General features: G+C 37.8%; 1 protein-coding gene across 19 annotated transcripts in view, besides 1 other annotated feature; it reads right to left on the bottom strand.

The window, feature by feature from the left end:
* ZCCHC7 (zinc finger CCHC-type containing 7) overlaps window positions 1-23,790 on the bottom strand; it is a 237,983-nt gene that overhangs the window by 34,338 nt on the left and 179,855 nt on the right. For 14 of the 19 annotated variants that reach the window (NR_110317.1, XM_005251612.4, XM_011518050.3 and 11 more), the window contains 3 exons: window positions 21,581-21,624; window positions 19,499-19,624; window positions 18,098-18,268 (listed from right to left, as the gene is read on the bottom strand). Coding sequence is in view for 18 of the 19 variants with exons in the window: in XM_005251612.4 (XP_005251669.1) it covers window positions 18,098-18,268; window positions 19,499-19,624; window positions 21,581-21,624 (341 nt within the window). In the remaining variant the exon portion in view is untranslated. The remainder of the gene's footprint in view (window positions 1-18,097; window positions 18,269-19,498; window positions 19,625-21,580; window positions 21,625-23,790) is intronic. The other 5 variants (XM_024447691.2, XM_017015199.3, XM_017015200.2 and 2 more) reach the window with 1 other exon arrangement.
* Window positions 21,271-21,320: an enhancer, noted in NCBI's record as "active region_28382". NCBI's record gives its function as "activates an Ori minimal core promoter by ATAC-STARR-seq in GM12878 lymphoblastoid cells {active_cell/tissue: GM12878}" and the evidence as "EXISTENCE:reporter gene assay evidence [ECO:0000049][PMID:35858748]".

Raw genomic sequence — 23,790 nt, 5'->3', positions numbered from 1 at the left:
ATTGTACATATACTTTGAGTATACGTGAAATATAATTTCTCCTAGAAGGAAAATTTTGAAAAGAACATCCTAGCATTTGCCGTCAATCAAAATTCCACATAAAGACTGCTCTGAGGTCTGAAATCATAGAAATATACAATTAAGATTCAAGACAAGTTACTGTCTTAATAATGCTTATTATACTTCTATTCTGCATGAAAATTTGCCATTCTTGATAAAGAGGAGCTACAAACATACAAGATGTAAGTGGCAATGTGTATAAAATCTACATAATTTTTTTAACCAATCGGTATGGAAAGCCATGCATTGGTCTTTAACTCTAAGCTGCCTCCAAGATGAACCAGACTTCATAAAATCATCTTTCCACCCAAGGTCAAATTTTAATCAATTCCTATACTTTTAATCCTCTGTAATCAGGGAAACTGACAAGCTTAATTTCTGGCTCAAAGATTTTTCTCTTTGATATTCTCCTCCTAACTTAAGTACAGTTATGAAGGCACAAAGTTTATCAGTAGATTACATTTCAAGGTTAATTTCACAAATAGTTGCTAATATTTGTAGTAAATCTGCTGACTGATGACCTAAGGTAATGTAAAGTAAAACCTTGTAAGAGCTAGTAAAATGTAGCATGATAATGTAGCAGCTAAAATCAGAAAATCCAGAGCAAAAATGGCTGGATTCTAATCCAGCTATTTACTATTTTGGGCAAGTTATATATCTCTGTGTCTCAGTTTCCTCATAGGTAAAACGGGGCTAACAGTACCTCCTCAAAGGATTGTTGTGATATTTAAGGGGTTGATAAGTATAAAGTCTTTAGAGCAATGCCTGACATATAGCAAGTGCTCCACTGTATTAACTATTGTTATGACAACATCAATTTGGCACTCCCCATACTGCTGATGCAGAAATAAATAATGGAAATATTGGCATCAATAAAGTAGCTGAAATAAATGAATCTACTGTACCAAGGTCAACTCTTGGATGTGCCCAAACCTAGAAGAAACTCAGTTTAGGTGACCTGTTGATAAAGACATAATAGAGGAAAAAATAAAACAATGAACAAAATGAATAAAATACAGATTTTATTAGACTACAGCTGTTTGTGGCCACCTTCTTAAAAAAATTCAGAAACATCAATAAGCATCTAGTATGTGCAATGTACCTATTTTTACATTCAGCCGAAGTCTACTCGATGTTTTTAGTTGTTAAAAAAAAATACTGGATCAGATAATCCTGATGTTGTATTTTATATTAAAATTCTGGAATACAAAAATCTTAAAATACCTTGGTCATTGATGAAAAAGAAAAGTACACTATTCTGAAAGTTAAGACAACTTTCTTTAATTCAACTCAAACTTATGTATTCCTTTTTTCTATGCTTAAACATTGTTTAATGGCCCCAGCTTCCTTACTAGCCTTTCCTCCTCTTTTGGGGGGGTTTTAAGATTAGTCAAGTGTAGTAGTGAGAAGGGGGGAAGCAGTAGAACAAGGAGTTCGATCTGCAACTGACTGTTAACAACCAAGTGAGATAATTCATTACCTTCAAACCAGACCTGAGGGCTGGGTAAGTGGAAACCAGGAAGAACATGTAGATGTAGATCCCTATAATTCTGGGAACCATCTAACTGGTTTGGTAGTGAATACATAGTCCATGTGCACGATGGATGGAAGAGAGGTCTTACTTCCTGCTTTCTAGTACCTTAACTCTTTCTGAGTTCCTGTCTTCATAACTTTCAGCTCACTCAGATATCCCATTTCTTAAAAAACAAAAAAATCCCCTGAAAAACAAAAATAAAAACTAATGTTGATGGCATCCCTCCATTACAACTGCCATGAGTGATTTCATTGTCCCTTTGGTATTGGAATAATGAAATCTGAGCGCTGACATCCTGAGAAAATTGTAAACTAAGTCTGCAAAGGTTCTATACTATACTGTTTCTTTAAGTATACTAGCAGGAACCAGAAGTTTTAAACTAGACTCAAAAGAGGTAAACTAAAGGTAAATTAGTTTCACTTTATTTTATTTTATTTTTATTTATTTATTTAGAGACAGAGTCTTACTCTGTTGCCCAGGCTAGAATGCAGTGGTGTAATCATAGCTCCCTGCAGCCCTGATCTCCTGGGCTCAAGCAGGATTCTCTGACCTCAGCCTCCAGAGTAGTTAGGACTACAGGCATGGACCACAGTGCTTGGCTAATTTTTCATTTTTTTGTAGAGATGGAGTCTCACTATGGTGCCTAGGCTGGTCTCAAACTCCTGGCCCCAGGCGATCTTTTCACCTTGGCCTCCCAAAGGCTGAAATTATAGGAATAAGCCTTGGCACCCAACCTGGTAAGATAATTTTAAAGTGAAAGTTTAGAACTTTACTTATAAACCAATTATAGGCCAGGAACAGTGGTTTATTTCTGTAATCCCAGCACTTTGGGAGACTGAGGTGGGAGGATCACTTCAGGCCAGGAGTTTGAGACCAGTGTGGGTAACAGCGAGACCCCACCTCTACTTAAAAGGAAAAAGAAAAAAAGGTGGCCGGGAGTGGTGGCTCATGCCTGTAATCCCAGCACTTTGGGAGGCCGAGGTGGGTGGATCACGAGGTCAGGAGATCAAGACCATCCTGGCTAACACGATGAAACCCCATATCTACTAAAAATACAAAAAATTAGCCGGGTGTGGTGGCACGCGCCTGTAGTCCCAGCTACTTGGGAGGCTGAGGCAGGAGAATCGCTTGAACCCAGGAGGCGGAAGTTGCAGTGAGCCGAGATTACGCCACTGCACTCCAGCCTGGGCAACAGAGTGAGATTCCATCTCAAAAAAAAAAAAAAAAAAAGAAAAAAGAAAAAACCCAATTATATAAACTCCATCATAAATAACAAATACTTAATAGAGCAAATTGTTTAAAACCACCAAATCCAATCCTAATTCACCTTAGTTAACTACATTAAACTCCTTCTATGTACAATCATGCCCTGTCATCCAGTTCTAAATCTCATGGAATGCTCTTGGGGAAATTATCTTTTCCTCTTCTCCCAAGATGTTGATAGCATCCAGCTTATGTCAGATACACAAATAATCATCCTTAGGTCTGATGTTGTAGTAAGACAATACCTTTTTTTATAATTCCAAGAGAGGCAAAATACTTACAACTTAAATACACATAAATCTAACTATGTAGAGAACATGTATAGTTAAAACTACAAAAATCTGATAATGGAGGCTAAAGGAGTTCTAGATAAACAGAGACATACCATATTCATGGATTGGAAGACTCAATACAGTGGAGTCAACTCTCCCTACAGTAGTCTATAGACTGGAACACAACTGTAATCAAAATCCTATCAGAAATTATTGTAAGTACAGACAAGGTGATTCTAGAATTTACATGAAGGGGGAAAGGAATTAGAACAGCAAAAGTTATTTTGTAAAAAATAACCGAAGTTGGCCAGGTGCGGTGGCTCATGCCTCTAATTCCAGCACTTTGGGAGGCCAAGGTTGGCGGATCACCTGAGGTTAGGAGTTCGAGACCAGCCTGGCCAACATGGTGAAACCCTGTCTCTACTAAAAATATAAAAATAAGCTGAGTGTGGTGGTAGGCGCCTGTAATCCCAGCTACTCAGGAGGCTGAGACAGGAGAATTGCTTGAACCCAGGAGACGGAGGTTGCAGTGAGCCAACACAGTGCCACTGCACTCTAGCCTGGGCAACAGAGTGAGACTTGGTCTCAAAAACAAAACAAAAGCAAAAGTTTAAGAAATCTCACTATGTATTTTAAGACTTACTATAAAACTATAGTAATCAAGACCATATGGCATTGGCAACAAGACATATACATACATCAGTGCAACAAAATAGAGCACAGGAATCAATCCATGTAAATATGGCCAATTGACCTTTGACAAAGATGCAAAATCAATTCAGTTGAGAATGGAAAGTCTTTTCGACAAATGGTGTTAGAACAATTGGTCAACCATATGTAAAGAAAACAAAATGAACCTTGATCTAAACCTCACATTATACAAAGTTTAACTCAAAATAGATAACAGATCTAAATATAAAAGTAGAAACATCTGAAAGAATACACAGGAGAAAATCTTCTGGCTGGCCATGGTGGCTCATGCCTGTAATACCAGCACTTGAGGCCAAGGTAGGCAGATCGCTTGAGTCCAGGAGTTCAAGACCAGCCTGGGCAACAAAATGAAACCTCATTTCTACAAAAAACAAAAGTCAGACGAGCATGGTGCCACGTGCCTGTCGTCCCAACAACTCAGGAGGCTGAGGTGGTAGGATCACTTGAGCCTGGGAGGTGGAGGTTGCAGTGAGCCGAGATTGCACCACTACACTCCAGCCTGGGGGACAGAGTAAGACCCTGTCTCAAAAAACAAAAACAAAAAACTGTGTGATCTGGGGTTGGGTAAAGAGTTCAAATTTATAAGTTGGACTTCATTAAATTTAAAAACTTCTGCTCTGCCTGAGAACCGTCAAGAAAATAAGAAGACAAACTATGGACTAGAAAAAAATATTTTGAAATCACATACCCAACTGAAGACTTATATCCAAAATACAGACAGAACTATCAACAGCCAATAAGAAGAAAATTAACACTCATTAAAAATTAGGAAGGGATGTTAATATTTCACCAAAGAAATAAGGATGATAAGTGCGTGCATGAAAGGATATTCAACATTATTAGCCATTAGAAAATGCAAACTAAAACTACAATAAGATAGACAGTATACATCTATTAGAATGACTAATATAGAACTCGCAAATAAAGATCAATAGAAATAAAAAGCAAAAAATGATAAAACATCTATAATTCCTGACATAACAAGAGCAAATATTTTGGAATATTTTACTCTTTTTTTTTTTTTTTTTTGAGACAGAGTCTCACTCTGTTGCCCAGGCTGGAGTGCAGTGATGCGATCTTGGCTCACTGCAACCTCCACCTCCTGGGTTCAAGTGATTCTCTGACTTGTGATTCTCCCACTTCAGATTCTCCTGCCTCAGCCTCCCAAGTAGGAGGGATTATAGGTGTGCGCTGCCACGCCTGGCTAATTTTTGTATTTTTAGGAGAGACAGGGTTTCAACATGTTGGCCAGGCTGGTCTTGAACTTCTGACCTTAAGTGATCTGCCCGCCTCGGCCTCCCAAAGTGCTGGGATTACAGGTGTGAGCCACCACACAGGGCCCACTCAAACTTTTTTCTATGCAAATCTACATATATAGAAACACACACATATATATAGAAGTCTAATTATACTTCACATACTGTTTTGTAATCTGTGTGTTTTACTTAATGTACTAGCAACTTATTTATATTTCAATATCATTTATATATATAAAATATATATATTTTTTGAGATGGAGTTTCGTTCTTCTTGTCCAGGCTAGAGTGCAATGGTGCAATCGCGGCTCACTGCAACCTCTGCCTCCCAGTTTCAAGCGATTCTCCTGCCTCAGCCTCCCAAGTAGTTGGGATTACAGAGCCCACCACCATGCCCAGCTAATTTTTGTATTTTTAGTACAGATGGGGTTTCACCATGTTGTCCAGGCTGATCTCGAACTCTTGACCTCAGGTGATCCACTGCGCCCGGCCTTTTATATCATTTTCGAAACGGCTGAATAAATCCCATTATATGACTATATTGTAAGGCAAGTCATCCTCATCGTCAAATATTTGGGTTGCATCTAGTATTCATTATTATTAACAACTTTGATATAAACATTCTTATAGCTATATCTTTGCAACTATACATCACTGAATTCCAGAAAGCCCATCCAAATGTACTTTAATAGTACAGCTTCCCTAACATTGGGTATTATTATTTTCCTTTCTTTATATTGATTTGTAAGAGCTTTTTATATATTACAGATAATTGTGCCATCATACATATTACAAAAATCTTTCCCAAACCATGGTCTGCCAATTACTTTTGTTAAAGGTCTCTTTGGATAAACAGGCTTTTTTGGGGGGGGTCGGGGGGAGTGGGGGAGGCAGTTAAATCTATAAGAGTGTTTAATCTACTATGAAAATGTTTATTGTTATAATTGATGTATTTGGTCTGATTTTTCTCATTCTTTATGCTTTTTGTTTTTTATACTTTCTTGCTCCCATTTTCTCCCATAATGTTATACTACGTGAGTTTCCTTTGTCTTACTTTTCTTCTGATTATTGAAACAAATAACCTTTTATTTTACTGAAATTACCTATAAACCACATTACTATAATTTAAAAAATAAAATTTGCTCTATTTATATTTTTCTGTCTTTTTTTGAGATGAACTCTCACCATGTTGCCTGGGCTGGTCTTGAACTCCTGACCTCAAGCAATTCTGCTGCCTCAGCCTCCTGAGTAGCTGCAACTACAGGCAGGTGCCACTGCACCCAGGAAATACTTATATTAAGTTAAAAAACAGATTATCAAGAAGTATTCAGACACATATTCCAGGCTTTCTTGCTTTCACTGTTCATTGTTGCTAATTTTTTTCTCTGACTTTTCCCTTAAATTCACAAATGAGCAACAGATTGTATCATCTTTTTTCCTCAGAATCTTCTAGGCTTTAGAGATTTCTCCATTACTTTTCAGCATTTAGTACTATACAGGAGAAGTCTGATGTGAATCTGATTTGTGTGTTTTTCTCTCTGGATATTAGTATAATTTTTGTTTGACATTCAGAAATTTCACTATGGGTCTTTTTCTCACTCAAATTGAGTGTGAACTATTTTGTCCATAATTTTCTTCATCATTTTGCTCAGCAGTGCTTTTCGTCTGTCTTCTCTATTCACATTATCTGTGAAGAAAGAGTTAGGATTTTCCCAAGTTTCCTATTTTCTACAAACAATTCATTTCATTTGGAGACATCTCTGATTATTATTATTTTTTTTGATCTACCAATTCTTTATATATGCCTGCAATTTTTTTTCTATTGGTATATTAAAAAAAAAAAAAAAGAGGCTTATGTGAAATCCCACCAGTACTGGCAGCTCAGGTGGTATTTGCCAAGCACTGCATAGGTCTCTGATCAACTCATTTATGGAAAACTTGAGAGACCATCAAGTTTTGGTTTGTTAAGAACAGGGAAAGAGTTACAATTACAGAGACCTGTGAAGAGCTGTTTTAAATCACTGGACATTGTTATCTATACCATTAAAAGACCCTTCCATTGTGCCAAATTCTTATAAGAATAAGGTTCTTGGCTGGACACATTGGCTCATGCCTGTAATCCCAGCACTTTGGGACGCTGAGACGGGCAGATCACTCGAGGTTAGGAGTTCGAGACCAGCCTGGACAACATGGCGAAACCCCATCTGTACTAAAAATAGAAAAAGCAGCTGGGCAGGGTAGTGCGTGCCTGTAGTCCCAGGTACTATGAAGAGTTGTTTTAAATCACTGGATATTGTTATTTATACCATTAAAAGACCCTTTCATTGTGCCAGATTCTTATAAGAATAAGATTCTTGGCTAGACACATTGGCTCATGCCTGTAATCCCAGCGCTTTGGGAGGCTGAGGTGGGCAGATCACTTGAGGTTAGGAGTTCGAGACCAGCCTGGACAACATGGCGAAACCCCATCTGTATTAAAAATACAAAAAGCAGCTGGGCATTGTAGTGCGTGCCTGTAGTCCCAGGTACTTGGGAGGCTGAGGCAGGAGAATCACTTGAACCCAGGAGGTGGAAGTTGCAGTGAGCCAAGATTGCGCCACTGCACTCCAGCGCCACTGCACTCCAGTCTGGCAACAGAGTGAGACTCTGTCTCAAAAACAAAAAACAAACAAACAAAAAGGAACCCTTTTTTTTTTTTTGAGACTGAGGAAGACGTGGCTCAATTTTTAAATTATTTCATCCAGTGTTATTCTAAACTTTTACTTTTTTAAGTCCATTATATTTTAGACAGGAACCAGTTCATCACCCTTGCTACCCACTACTACCTTCCCTGGTTTAGGGATGCTTATATAGAACTTTTACCTTTCCTTTGCATTTACCTATAGGTAAAAGTTCTATATAAGCATCCCTAAACCAGGGATGACAGGGTGAGAGAGAAAGGTTTAATATTGAGACCCTGTAGCTTACTTTAGAATTTTTTCCTGCTACATTAGAACTGGTTCCTGTCTAAAATATAATGGGCTTAAAAAAGTAAAAGTTTAGATAACACTGATGAAATAATTTAAAAATTGAGCCATGTCTTCCTTTATATCTGAAACTACCTCACCGTAATGATTAGTGTTCTTAGGATGTATATTTTTCTGGTAATATCCATGATTACAGAGAGAATTATTTTTATGTTCTATAACTAAAAGGCTGATTAGCTCATAATATTTATTATTATATAATTTGCTTGAGTGTCTTGAACTTCTCAAAGTAGTTTAGTATTGCTTATGATTTTTTTTATCAAGTCAACAATTAGTAGAATGCCTTACAACAAACGAAGATCACGCTTACTATTAAACTGAAATCCTGCATAATTATCTTACTCTCTTTTTAAAACAAATGAAACAATACAATAAAAATACAAATAAAGGCAAGCTAATTGTGTTTCTCAGCCCTCTTTTCTAACCCAATCCCAGTCTGATGAGGAAAAGCAATGTTAAGAGCCTGGTATGTATACTTTATCCCATTTATCATTGTTTATATATGTATATATATACACACACAAGCATATACATGTAGATTATGCAGAGCTCATTTTCTTTTTTTTTTTTTAACTGAAATATAATCATTCTACAGGCATTTGTAAGTTTTCAAGACGAACTGTGTGTACCTTTTAGATGGCATGCCTAATTATTTTAACTAGTAGACAACTGAAGAAAACAGCTGTTTTTTCAAGATGAATAACTGCATATTGGGTTCGACCAGATCATACCTAGGATTGATTAGTACAACAAAATCATACACAGAATTGATTAGTATGCTGGCAAACAGATCCCTATAAGTAAGTCTTTGAATAGTTTTAGAGGTTAAAAAGCTTTCCCAGTTGTGTACATTGCTTCACTGCTGTGTAATTTGAGGGAGATTTTCAAAACCCAATCAGAAAGCTGTCTGGAATGTATACTTTTTTTTTTTTTTTTTTTTAAAAGAGATCGGGTCTTGCTATGTTGCCCAGGTTGGACTTGAACTCCTTTGCTCAAGTGATCTTCCTGCTTCATCCTCCCACGTACTAGGACTATAGGCAACTCCCACCACATCCAGGGATCTATAAAGGTCAGCAGCACTGACCTTATTCTGTAAGATTTGGTGAATCTTTTAGCCTTAGAGTTGTTAATGAGGATCTTATTTTCACTCTCAATTCATAACTCAGATAATTATGTCCCAGAATTTGTTCGTATTAGTGGATTTAATAGTAAAATTCAAGTCTACATGATGGACTTTTATACCTGGATTTAGTTTTAAAAAGGGGTGGCATATAATAAGTTTGAAATTTAATAAAATTCTTAGTGGCCTTCTGCTTTATACATCAGAGACCTGTGTCTTCCCAAATGTGATTGGACTGAAGAGTAAGTCAGTCCATTCCTCAGTGCCATAAGATTCTCAGTGAAAAACTAAAGTTTATTTATCCTTTAATGTTGAGAGCTTATAAAGTTTATAAAGGCAGGCTAGAAGTAGACAATATTTCCCTTCCTTTGATGAAAGGTAAGGGTCTGCAGAATGGGAATTATCTCTATCTTCTACACATTTATTCTTACATTTTCTATAAAGACAAGATAAGCTTGCTAGTAAGCTGCTAAGTCCACTCAAAGTGACTAATACTAGACAAGGAGGTATGTACTATACGGAGAGTTGAAAAGATTGGAGGAATTTTCAGGTTACTTAGAAATGACTAGAAAGGAAACCATTTAGTACAATTTAAAATAAGAACTGGTTTCTCCTTCAAACTTTAAATGTGCTAAGTTATACACTGTATTAGTCCATTTTGACATTATTATAAAGAATTACCTGACACTGGGGTAATTTATGAAGAAAAGAGGTTTAACTGACTCAAGTTCCACAGGCTTAACAGGAAGCATGGCTGAGGAGGCCTCAGGACACTTACAATCATGGTGGAGGTTGAAGGGGAAGCAAGCACCTTCACGTTGGCAGGAGAGAAAGAGAGCAAATGAGGGGCAGGGTGCCATACACTTTTAAACCATCAAATCTCATGAGAACTTACTATTGCAAGAACAGCATGGGGGAAATCTGCCCCCATGATCCAATCACCTCCTACCAGGTCCCTCCCTCAACATTGGGAATTACAATTCGACTTGAGATTTGAGTGGGGACATTGAACCAAACTGTACCATATGCCTTCAAGTTTAAAATGTAGAACATAATTATTTACATAAGGTCACATACATTTGCAACCATGAAAATTTCAGATATTCATTTATTAGGTGGCTTGGTAACAGTTCCAATAAATTATTAATTCCTGATTTTGGGATTTACTCCCTGAACAATGAACATGTATGCGATTTTCACTAACATTATCGTGAGTTTTGTGTACATCAAGAAGACAGGAGGAGACCTTCAAGTATAGAAATCAACTTAACTTTCTTGAAGTAGTCTGATCTCTCAGTTAAATAAACATTTGGTAAGCCTATACAACAATTTTGTAAGACAATCAATCAATTGCAGCCTGCCCTCTTGCTCCAATATTACCTATAAATAACATTAAAATGTTGAGAAAAGTGGGTGGAACAAAGTACATATATCTAACCAAAGTCTGATTTTCCTATTTCCAAAGGTAGGTGTAATGCACACTGTCAGCAGAACTACATATTTATCTGAAAGTACATACCAATCTATCACGATAATATAATTCTAGTGTTTTAGTTTTTTCAGAGATGAGTTTTTCTTTTCCCCTTCATTCCTTCCTCACATCGTGATTTTACACATCTAAGTTACTTTGTTGGGGAGGCGGCATTTTAATTTTAATTATTTATTCTTATTTATGCATTCTCATTTTCATTAAGTAGATTTGAATATATCAGTGGTTTCTCTTCAAATAAGTTGAGCAGGGAAATTAGCTTGTTCATGATTATTTGCTATCTGAATCTTAATTTTATCATTTCTTAAAAAAATGTTTTTTGTAGATATAGGGTCTCACTATATTGCATAGGCTGGTCTCTAACTCCTGGCCTCAGGCAGTCCTCCAGATTTGGCCTCCCAAAGGGCTGGGTTGTGGTTACTGGCATGAGCCACTGCGCCCAGCCCTCTATATTATTTCTTAAAACTGCATGTGAATCTATAATCATGTCAAAATAAAAAGACACAGTTACTTGGCTCCCTTCTTAGGTCTACGTCACACTTTCTACATTTTCTAGGTATGCATCATCTGCAAGTCACTAAGTTTAGAGTCTTCTAAGACTCTTTTATTTATCACCACCCTGATGTACTTTCACATTACACTTTACACTGTTCTTAACACACCCACCTTTCCTATTATACTCTGAGTTCCTCAAGGGCAGGGATCATGTTTTATTCATCTTTTTTTCCCCTAGTACTTGGAATACTGTCTGGCATATAAGAGGCAACCAGCAAATTTTTGCTAAATGAACAAATGTAGAAAGTTTATTTGGGTGGTAGAACACTGGAGATGTTTTTGAATAAAGGTAGAACCGCCATTACACAAAATATGTGAATTAAGCAAGTCTTTAAATTCAAATCTTGGCTTAGTTATTCAGCACAATAATATGTTTCAGCCATTCTTATTTCTGGCCAGTCATATCTGAGTAAGACTGTGGAAAGGATAAGGGGAGGAAATCATATGAATACTACTCAGTGCTCCTTGGAGTACACTAAAAATAAAATAAATACCTGTTTCTTAAATAATTACCTTTACAAAAATAATGCTCTAGTAACTCTCCATTCTGGATTTGACAAGTATGAAATGATTTGTACTAGATGCTTTGTATTTCCTGCTGGAAATCTCCAAGTTTAATAAAAATCTAAATAAAAGACATTAGTTTTCAATTTTACATATATATTTATTGAAGAAACATCATTGAGCACTCACGTGTATGTTAAATACTACACAGTTTAAACTGAGTTCTCCTTAAAATAAACTTTTGCACTGTGAAAAATATTGTAGTATATGGCTGATATGGGAGCATTTTTCTAGCATCAAAAAAGTAAAAAGGCCGGGCGCAGTAGCTCACGCCTGTTAACCCCAGCGCTTTGGGAGGCCAAGGCGGGCAGATCACCTGAGGTCAGGAGTTCGACATCAGCCTGGCCAACATAGTGAAACCACACCTCTACTAAAAATACAAAAATTGGCCAGGTGTTGTGGCTCATGCCTGTAATCCCAGCTACTTGGGAGGCTGAGGCAGAATTGCTCGAATCTGGGAGGCAGAGGTTGCAGTGAGCCGAGATCACACCTCTGCACCCTGGGCGGCAGAGTGAGACTCTGTTTCAAAGATAAAAATAAAAATAAATAAATAAAGGAATCAAGTGAAATATGTTCTATGAATTATTTTCTCCCACTGTATTAAAAAATCAGACTTTAACAGTTATTTAGCATGGACTGGGATAACACACTGAGCAGGGAATTTGAGAAAAAAATTGCTGAATAAAGGTAGGAAATTTAGGAGGTTTGGGTTTTGATTATATCTGACACTGACTAACTCAGTCATTATGCTTTAATAAAAAAGGATGGCAATCTGAACAATTAATAAAGATTGCTGAAGCTGCAATGGTCTCTTGTGAGCAGTAAAGCTCTATGGTATCACAGAATTGGCTCTGTATCTGAAAATCAACATTCTATACTGCTTTCTTGATCCCCAGGGGTTTTTTAAAGTGCTGACAACCTAAGGTAAAATTTATTTTTGTTTGGAAAATATTTTTCTTTATGTGTTTTATAATATATTGATTTTTTTTTTTTTTTTTTTTTAAAAAGAGAGAGTCTTACACTGTCACCCAGGCTGGAGTGCAGTGATGTGATCACAGCTCACTGCAGCCTTGATCTCCTGGGCTCAAGCAATCCTCCCATCTCAGCCTCCCGAGTAGCTGGGACTACAGGTGCGTGCCACCCTGCCTGGCTAATTTTTAAATTTTTTTTTTGGTAAAGAGTGGGAGTCTCACTATGTTGCCCCAATGTCATGAGTGTTATATTAAAGTTGCTTATTAGAGCTATAATATCTGCATATTTAAGAAAGAAAGTTGAGAGATCCTCCGAGTAGGAGATAAACTGATGATTCCTTGATTGCCAATATGTAAGCTTTCTCCACATAGTCATAAAGTATAGCATCATTTTAGCTTTTAGACCTTAGACTTATTAACCTTGTAATGTCTCAGTTTTCAGTTTGTAAAATAGGAGTAATAAATAGTACCTACACTTCATATCCTGCTTATGAGGATTAAATCTACTGAACACCTACTATATGCTAAGGGCATAGTGGTGAATGAAGCACTCCTCCAGCACAGTAAACACACAATTATGTATGGCTGTTGTTATCTTGGAAATGTCAGAGATAGCTCACAGAATAGGTTTCTGTGTGCAAGCTAAAGGTATACAGACATTTAAAAATTCTCTGTATATTTAAAAATTGTTGGCAAGTGAGGAGAGAAACTATAGCAGATTCAGAAACAGGATTCTTTCCATAATCCAGGTTCTTGTCTTCTGAAAGGGACTAATGATGCAGGTTGACTTTAGTAGGCCTTGAGCCATCTTTTTATCCTTCACCTCATAAAACTCTGGAATTTCAACCAAATACTTTTACAGAAGTAGTTAACCAATGAGCAATTTCCAACAGATTTTAGGAAAAAGCTTTTCATTACAGAAAGGATTTGAATATGACTCGACAGTTTTCACTACAAATTCTCTTTGCATACATATATCTGGTAATCTGGCCAAACAGAGGTCTAGGTGTGTGACTATGGGAATATATAAAGTAAAAGGGCAAGTTTCTTTCATTTTTTTTTTTTTTTTTGGAAACAGTCTCACTCTGTTGCCCAGGCTGGAGTTCAGTGGTGCAATCTCGGCTCACTGAAACCTCTGCGTCCTGGGTTCTAGCAATTCTCATGCCTCAGCCTTCCCAGTAGTTGGAATTACAGGTGTGCACCACCACACTCAGCTAACTTTTGTACTTTTAGTAGGGATGGGGTTTTGCTGTGTTGGCCAGGCTGGCCTCAAACTTGTGGCCTCAAGTGATCTGCCTACCTCGGCCTCCCAAAGTGCTGGGTAACAGGCATGAGCCACCACGCCCAGCCTTGGAAGTTTCTCAATATCGTCAATTTATAAAAGGTTAGAAATCCTCTGTGAATGAGCAGAAAGTCCAGTAGGTGGGAAGATGAAAATGACAAAGAATGGTAGAGGATAGTATTGCTAGAGGGTATAAGCCTTAAATAAGCCAAAGGTATTTACATAAAAAGGGTTGAGTAATGACTTAAAAGCAGCCATGGCATGTGAGAAAGAGGCTGATATCATCTCTTAAGATTCAGGGTCACGGAAGATGAGCAGCAAGCATTTGATAGGGCTGCAGAGGAAACAAATTTTCTGTGGAGGCCCAGGTTTCAAGACAGACCTAAAGCATGTACAGTTCCAACAACATGGGGCCAGAATGACTCGGCTTCCATGTGAATTCTCATGAAGTTTCTGGGGTGGTGGAAGGACTATGAGCCTTGCCACAAGGAGTCAGTAGAGCCCAGGCTTGACTGGGCTGCGAGGGAATCCTACACCAGGTGTGTAGGCTACAAAGACCAGCTTCCAGAACCTTCGCCATGTAATTACAACAAATATAGTAGATACTGGTAGATTTGGGGAAAAGAGTACTGCCTTCTCTGAAGCTGGTCACAGCCCAACCCTATTTTATTTTATTTTTTGAGATAGGCTCTCACTATGTTGCCCAGGCTGTTTTTTTTTTTTTTTTTGGATACAGACTTTCACTCTGTTGCCAGGCTGGAGTGCAGTGGCATGATCTTGGCTCACTGCAACCTCTGCCTCCCAGGTTCAAGCGATTCTCCTGCTTCAGCCTCCTGAGTAGCTGGGACTACAGGTGTGTACCACCACGCCCAGCTAATTTTTGTATTTTTAGTAAAGACTGGGTTTCACACCATGCTGGCCAGGATGGTCTCGATCTCTTGACCTCGTGATCCACCTGCCTCGGCCTCCCAAAGTGCTAGGATTACAAGTGTGAGCCACCAGGTTTTAAACTCCTGGGATTAAGAGATCCTCCTGCATTAGCCTCCTGAGCAGCTGATATTACAGGAGCATACCATGATTTTAATCTTATTTAAAAAAACCTACATTCATTGGGATTATTAATTCTCATTTTAGATAATAATTTAACATATATTAGAGGCCAAAATCAAGAAGTTAAGAGGAATGGCCTATAGAATTAACACAGATGATTATATAACCTTTTACAAGTAATTTTTAACTGTTCTGTAGTACAGTTTCTTGTTTTTAAAAAATTGCCTATGATAATGTCTTACTCCCCTTCTTTATCACAGGCAAATAAGACCATATTTGTCAGAGCTCTTTGGAAGAAAACAGTAAAAAAAAAACAGATGCTATTAAAGATAACTGCCAAACTAGAAAATCTTGCTAAGAAAATTATAATTGACAACTTAATGCAGACAACAACATAATGCTAGGACAATTCAGGATTTATCATTTTTAAGACTTGGTAAACACTAAAAAATAAGACTAAAGTACTTTGGAATGAAATGACAACTTCTATCTATATAGCCTTGAGAATAGAGTATTCAAATTAATTAACCATATACCACTTTATTAATAACCAAAGAAATACAAATTAAAACAATAAAATATCATTTTTTGGTCTGACCAGCCAAAAATTTTAAAGACTGATAATACTTAATGTTGATGAGTGCAGTGCTCATTTCTCTTAACACTGCTGGTAGGTAGATACATTGGTACAATCTTTTAGAAGAGCAATTTGACAATACTTATCCAGACATAAGTGTACGTCTTTTAATTTCACAATTCCATTTATAAAATATGACTTACCAAAACATTATTAAATGCACCACTGTTTGTTTAAAAAATGGGTAACAATTTAAGTATAAATTTGCTGGTGGAATTACAATAAATAATTGTCATGTTATTTACATGAGAAATACATATATATACCAAACACTCATACTCTAATCTGTTTTAATCTGAAATTCATTTCAACAGAAAGCCATACTAATTTATTGAGCAAAAGATTATAGGTGTATTTCAGACATGCATTAAAAAGGGCTGTAAGAAAAAAGACTATAGGTGTATTTCAATATAAATAAAATTAGAAAAATATTTCTGCTTTCGTATCATGACTTTGGGGAAGTACATATTAAAGTACTTTTATTATTTTAAAAAATAGGTAAGTAATGCTTTAAAAAAGAGAATGAGAGACACCCCTTTCATAAATACCCCTTAAATCAATTAGAATTGCCACTTAGGTATGAGGATGAAAAATGACTTTGTACTGATTAGCTGTTAATATAAAATAAACATATGTTACTATGTAGTAAGAAACGCAATTAAGACCTAAAATGAAAGACTCTTAATGAGACACTCATTAGGAATTAGGGTAAACTGAATGTAGAAAACTACATATTCCACATCAAAGCTGTATTTGCTTATTTCAACAGCCCTCTGGTCTTTGAAATTATGACTAAACTCCATATACATTTACAACAATACAATGCAAATAGTGTCCAAAACAGCATTTTTAATATGCTGCAATTTAAAGTAATGGCTGCCTTGTCCTTCTTTCCTTAGACTATTAGACCAGCAAAATCATTGATAAGAAGAATCAGGCCAGGTGTGGTGGCTCACACCTGTAATCCTAGCACTTTGGGAGGCTGAAATGGGTGGATCACCTGAGGTCAGGAGTTCGAGACCAGCTTGACCATGGTGAAACCCTGCTGTCTACTAAATATACAAAAATTAGCCAGGCATGGTGGTGGGCGCCTGTAATCCCAGCTACTTGGGAGGCTGAGGCAGGAGAATCACTTGAACCTGGGAGGCAGAGGTTGCAGTGAGCCAAGATCATGCCACTGCACTCTAGCCACCGTGACAGAGCGAGACCCTGTCTCCAAAAAAAAAAAAAAAAAAAAAAAAAAAAAAAAAAAAAAAAAAGGTCGGGTACAGTGGCTCATGCCTGTAATCCCAGCACTTTGGGAGGCCGAGGCGGGCGGATCATGAGGTCAGGAGATCGAGACCATCCTGGCCAACGTGGTGAAACCCCGTATCTACTAAAAATAAAAAATTAGCCAGGTGTGGTGGCACGTGCCTGTAATCCCAGCTACTCGGGAGGCTGAGGCAGGAGAATCGCTTGAACCCAGGAGTTGGAGGTTGCAGTTAGCTGAGATCACGCCACTGCACTCCAGCCTGGGCAACAGAGCGAGACTCCATCTCAAAAAATAAATAAATAAAATAAAAATAAAAAAAGAAGCATCAAAATAGGCTTCCATTAAACATCTGTATATAACTGCTAATTGTGCATATATTTTCATTTAAATATGCACAAATAGGCCAGGTGCAGTGGCTCACGCCTGCAATCCCAGCACTTTAGGAGGCTGAGGCGGGCAGATCACCTAAGGTCAGGAGTTCGAGACCAGCATGGCCAACATGGTGAAACCCCCGTCTCTACTAAAAATACAAAAATTAGCCAGGAGTGTTGGCATGCTCCTGTAGCCCCAGCTACTCGGGAGGCTGAGGCAGGAGAATCGCTGGAACCCGGGAGGCAGAAGTTGCAATGAGCCGAGATTGCACCACCGCACTCCAGCCTGGGTGACAGAGTGAGACTATGTCTCAAAAAATAAATAAATAAATAAATAAATATGAATACACAAATTTTACATGTTATTTATTACCTCTTTAAATTCAGCCTTTATTTAACAAGCTTATAAAGAAAAAGGGCTAGAATGGGCTTAAAATATTTATTAATGCTATCTCTTGATGCTGTCTTCTGATTCAGTAGGCTCCTTACCCCTATATTATTTAGAGCACTGCTTTATATACATGTTCAGTGACAAAATGGACATGACTATATATATATATATATATCTCACGGAGTAAACATTCCTTTAGGTATGCTGACTGATAGTTATAAACTTGCACATTAATTACAAACTTGCACACTCCCTCCAAAGCCTGACAAATTAGTTATATGCAGGATACTCACATCTGTATAGTGGCCTAGCATATGACATCGGTCACACTGTTTATCCCAGGAATGTCTGAAAAGACATGAGTGGTCCAACATCTTAGGCACAGGACAGTATTCGCAAAGGGGGGCTGGACAGGAATACAGGAGATGTCCTCTCCTGGAGCACAGGAAGCAGCGACGAACTTTCTATGTGGCGAAAAAAACATAAAATCTCTTCAGTCTCAAAAGGTAGAAGATTAGTATTTGTTTTTCAATATAATCCCATAAAAAAATCTTTTCTAATTTGAGATCCCAATAAAGGTAGAATCCTGAGCACAACTGTAAAAATCAAACAAAATGTCCAAAACACTGTATGTATATTGTTTGCCAAAAAGGCTTAGTCTGTACATACTAGCAGCTGGCATATATTCCTTATGCCTCTTCTTATAGGAATATTGACAAAATGAAAGGTATGTAAGAGGGAAAGTAGAATGAGGAGGATATCTAGAAGCTAAGTCATAGGAGGAACAGATACAGAAGAAGCTGTTTTGACTGGAGAAGCAAGAACAAAAAAGGAGCATAAGAGGTGTCTGAACTATTTGAAAAGCAGTCATTTGGAAGAGGAAGGAGAAATGGAAGAAATGTTTGTTAAGAGCTAATTATCTGGTCAGGAAACGTCTAAGATCTTCAGTTCTGTGTTGTTCCAAAGGTTGATGTACCTGCTTAACGTAACTTACATTAATAAACATTTAAAAATGCCCCAAATTATAATTTTCTAACGATAAAAATTATCTCACATTGAAATAAGCTATCTTATGAAGTACAAGGTTTAGAAGTGAAAGGGGTCTCAGGAATCATCTGATTCAATCTTTTCATTTTATAGACAAGAAAACAAGAAGCACAGAGGGTTAAATGATTTGCCCATACAACTAGTAATGATAAGTTAAAATTGATTCCACATTTTTCTGACTCCAAATTTATTATTATTTCTCCGACACTAGGCTGTAAGCTACATGAAATTTAACACACATACTATAAAAAGATTTGAATTCTAAGGTTATAGGGTTTCACACTTGAGATTTTTTTTTTTTTTCTGAGACAGAGTTTCACTTTGTCACCCAGGCTGGAGTGCAATGGTGTGATCTCTGTTACCGCAAGCTCCATCTCCCGGGTTCACACCATTCTCCTGCCTCAGCCTCCCAAGTAGCTGGGACTACAGGCGCCCGCCATCACGCCCGGCTAATTTTTTGTATATTTTTGGTAGAGACGGGGTTTTTCACCATGTTAGCTAGGATGGTCTCAATCTCCTGACCTCATGATCCACCTGCCTCGGCTTCCCAAAGTGCTGGGATTACAGGCATGAGCCACCGTGCCCAGCCTCACCCTTGAGATTTTGAGTTTACAAATGTGGAAAGAAGCAAAGCATATTTCACGTACTCGTGGTAAGGGGCAGTTTTTTGATAAATGACCACGTTTGTCACAATTTCTACAGATAATGTTTTTGTTGGCTGAATAGTACCGCTGGGTCCATCTTCCAGGTGTTCGGTTATTAGCTATCTGGGCCTAAGGGAAAAAAAAATCAAGAATTAAAAAAATTGTTTCACTGCTAAATAAAAGCCATCTACTACTCTTGTTAAAGACAACTATAAGCAAATAAAGATACATCAAGCTTCAAGTCAGTTCCATTACCTTGATAAAGCAAGAGAATTATTAGTTATATCTGTTCAACTTAGAACCTAGCCACAGGGGAACTTTATGATCTCTCTTGTTCTCTTAAAAAGAGGTAGAGGTTGGGCGTGGTGGCTCATGCCTGTAATCCCAGCACTTTCGGAGGCCGAGGTGGGCGGATCACCCGAGGTCGGGAGTTCAAAACCAGCCTGACCAACATGGAGAAACCCCATCTCTACTAAAAATACAAAACTAGCTGGGCGTGGTGGCGCAGGTCTGTAATCCCAGCTACTTGGGAGGCTGAGGCAGGAGAATCGCTTGCGCCTGGGAGGCGGAGGATGTGGTGAGCCGAGATTGTGCCATTGTACTCCAGCCTGGGCAACAAGAGTGAAACTTCATCTCAAAAAAAAAAAAAAAAAAAAAAAAAGAGGTAGAAAAACATAAAAGGAGGTGCCATAAAGGTAACTCTACTGCTTTTTGTCTGCCCCTCCCGCCTGCTGAGTCTTTTATACTTCTCCATGTGATTTTTTTTTTTTAATCTTTCTCTACTTATGTTTCAGATCGAGCAGGGGTACTGACATGCATCACTTAGACACCGCGGTAGCATTCAGTCAAAGCCACTGCTGACTTCTTTTCTTTCTTTCTTTTTTTTTTTTTGAGACGGAGTTTCACTCTTTTGCCCAGGCTGGAGTGAAGTGGCGTGATCTCGACTCACTGCAACCTCTACCTCCCTGGGTTCAAGCGATTCTCCTGCCTCAGCCTTCCGAGTAGCTGGGACTACAGGCGCCCGCCACCACACCTGGCTAATTTTTGTATTTTCAGTAGAGAAGGAGTTTCGCCATGTTGCCCAGTCTGATTTCGAACTCCTGACCTCAGGTGATCCACCCACCTCAGCCTCCCAAAGTGTTGGGATTACAGGTGTGAGCCACCACGCCCGGCCAGCCACTGCTGATTTCTATAACTGAATGTACACCATGTTTTTCTGAATGGGAGGGCTACTTAAATTTTGAGTTAGGGAATGGTGTTTTTATGACTTTGTCTTTTGTAAAGTTAGTACAGCTACCCAATATATCCATTCTTTTGAACAGCACAGGGTTACTGCCTACAAGACTGGATGATAATAAAAGACTGATAATCCAGTCTTCCTTTATAGAAATAAAGGAATGAGATAATTTCTTTCCACTGGAATCCTTTTAAGATCCATTCTGCCTACAGAGTGACCCAATTCTAACTGTCCCATATTCTAATCTAAATCTAGGATCTTGTAAGAGAGTACCAACAATGCATATCATATGGAATATCTAAAGAGGAACTGTAAATCCCAACCATGCTTTAGCTTGTTTGGTAGAATTCCATCTTTAAAAAAGTTTTCATCTTTTATTTGTTATTTTGCTGAACTGGCCAAGTGGACCACATGTAAGTACAATCTAGCTATCTCCCAAAACCAAGTTATAAAATTATTCTCTTTTTGTAGCATCTGCCACAATTAAGGCTAATAATCGACAAAGACAAACACCTGCCACATCCTAAAAATAGACTAACCATTTCCTTACACTGAAGAAGCAGTTATTTCCGGTGTTGATCTTTTTAGTGGTACCAGGCCATATGGGCTGAGAGGACTCACCGCAGGAGAGAAACAGAAAGGGAAAGGGGACTGGATGATTACAGCTATTAACTCACTGACAAAACTCAAGGCTGAACCAAGTTTCTGAAGAGTTAAATCACTCATATGCTAAAATCAAATGTTTTCTTATAAGCCACTTAAACTTATTAATGTTCCAAAAGTTATCATAATAAACTATGAAGCAAAGGAAATTATTATTCTGAATTTTAAAAACAATTTGATTTTACCTCAATGTCTTTGTCACTGATGGACCAGTTTATACCATCTTCTCCTACAAAACAAATAAATTATTACTTAACCGTGGCACTTTTAAAGGACTTATAGATTGACAATAGATTACACAATTTATGAGTACTCAAATTGGACCCCAAAGGTACACTGAGAAATGTTGAATACCTGAAATTCCTATTTTGGCTCTGTTATTAATTATGTGGCCCTGGACAAATACTTAACCTCTCTGAGTCTCAGTTTTCTGACCTGTGAAATGGGATAATAGTATTTTCCCTGTCTGCCTAAAAAGTCCTGTGAGAATAAAATGAGGTATGTGAAAATACATTGAAAAGCATCAGACTACATACAAATATTAAAACAAAAAAAAATCAGTGAAGGGCCCAAAAATACAACAGCAGATGCAGAATGAAATCTTAACTTCTTTTATCTGACTAAAGCAGAGCTTTACTGAGGCAGCTGTCACAACCCTCTCACACCTCCAGGAGGATCCACAGGAGGGAGATGACTGACACTGGGCACTGAGACATAACAAAAAAATTGTGTAAATGAGATCTTTCTGTCCTTTGACTCCCTAAGCTACCCCCTCTTGTTAAGTTGGTATATAGCCCCTTACTTCTTGTTTTTTTTGGAGACAGGGTCTTGCTCTGTTGCCAAGACTGGAGTACAGTGGTACCATTTTGGCTCACTGCAACCTCCGCCTCCCAGGCTTAAGCAATCCTCCCACATCAGCCTCCTGAGTAGCTGGGACTACAGGAACTTGCCACCACGCTAGGCTAATTTTTATAATTTTTTTGGTAGAGACAGGGTTTCACCATGTCACCCAGGCTGGTCTCAAACTCCTGAGCTCAAGAGATCCACCCACTTCAGCCTCCCAAAGTGCTGGCATCTGTGGTGTGCCACAGCAAGAGGCATAACCCCTTACTTCTATAACCCTCTAAACTCTTCTTCAGAGTTACTGATATTGAGTGCTCCTTCAAGTGTGAATAAACCTTATCTTTTCTCCAGTTAACCTGTCCAGTATCAGTTAACTTGCAGGCCCACAATTTGAACTCAGCTTGGTAGAGGAAAAGTATTTCTACCAAATATGAGTATTAACTGTGTCCACTAGCTTTGCATTCTACATGACTTTCATTATAACAATAAAAAAATTAGACTCTGAATAATATCTCACTAATAGGGTTAGGTTCTTAGCACTGTATTTTATAACATCAAAAACAGCAAAATAAAAGAAAAAAAAGGAGGCCAAATATCCAGAAACCACTGATTAATCTAAAAATACAACTGTAAAAACCTAGTGGGGGAAATAATCTCCCACATTTTCTTGTATCAGCTATTTTCTTTTCTTTCCACTGTCCTTTCACAAACGTGCAAATGGCTGCTATTCCTTTGGTCCACCCATGGCCAAGGGGGAAGGGACCTATGACTAATGCAGAAACTAAAGTGTTGACAAAAGGACTGAAAGATCTTTTTCTCCCTTTAAAGCTAAGATTTCCTCTGTCCTCCTACCTTACTACTTTCCTCTATCTCAAAAACACAAATCAAGCTTGACTTGTTTCTTTGAAAGGCTTTTGAAGAGACATGAAGTAATCTACATTTTCCCAGGCCTACCAGGAGTAAGTGTCTAGAGATATATTTTTAAATAAAAAACTTTTCTAAGAAAACCATGAGGCTGCTTTACAAAAAGACCAATCCACAGGTATGCAGAGATGCTGTGCTGATGATTATTTTCTTTGTAACATTTGGAGGCTGTATCCATGTACTGAGAGTGAAGAATACATTAAATAGCAGCAGCTTCTATTCCTTCATCAACCATCCATGCTATTATTCTTTCATTCAAAGGATCCATGTATGAAGCATGCTTTGCTACAACTTTCAAAGCTGCTTTTTGTATCTCAATGTCTTTCATCATTAAAATTCAAAATGACCACTTGAAATTATGTTAACTATAAGACTGACTTAAAATTGTTCTTAAAAAATGAAATATAAAACCAATGAAATGCAAAATGGCAACTGTTACCACTCTCCAAATTTACACATAAACAGAAAACAGTAAAAAAGGAAGGTTTGAAGGAGGGAGATCGACTCTATTCAGATTGTTTTAACAATCCTGTGGGATTCAAAAATATTCTTGTGTACAGTTGTCCCTCAGTATATATGAGGGATTGGTTCCAAGACTACCCTGGTAGAACCAAATCCTTGCACACTC

This window comes from Homo sapiens, chromosome 9 (assembly GCF_000001405.40).
Source record: "Homo sapiens chromosome 9, GRCh38.p14 Primary Assembly".
NCBI lineage: Eukaryota > Metazoa > Chordata > Mammalia > Primates > Hominidae > Homo > Homo sapiens.
This window is presented reverse-complemented; position numbering and strand designations above follow the sequence as displayed.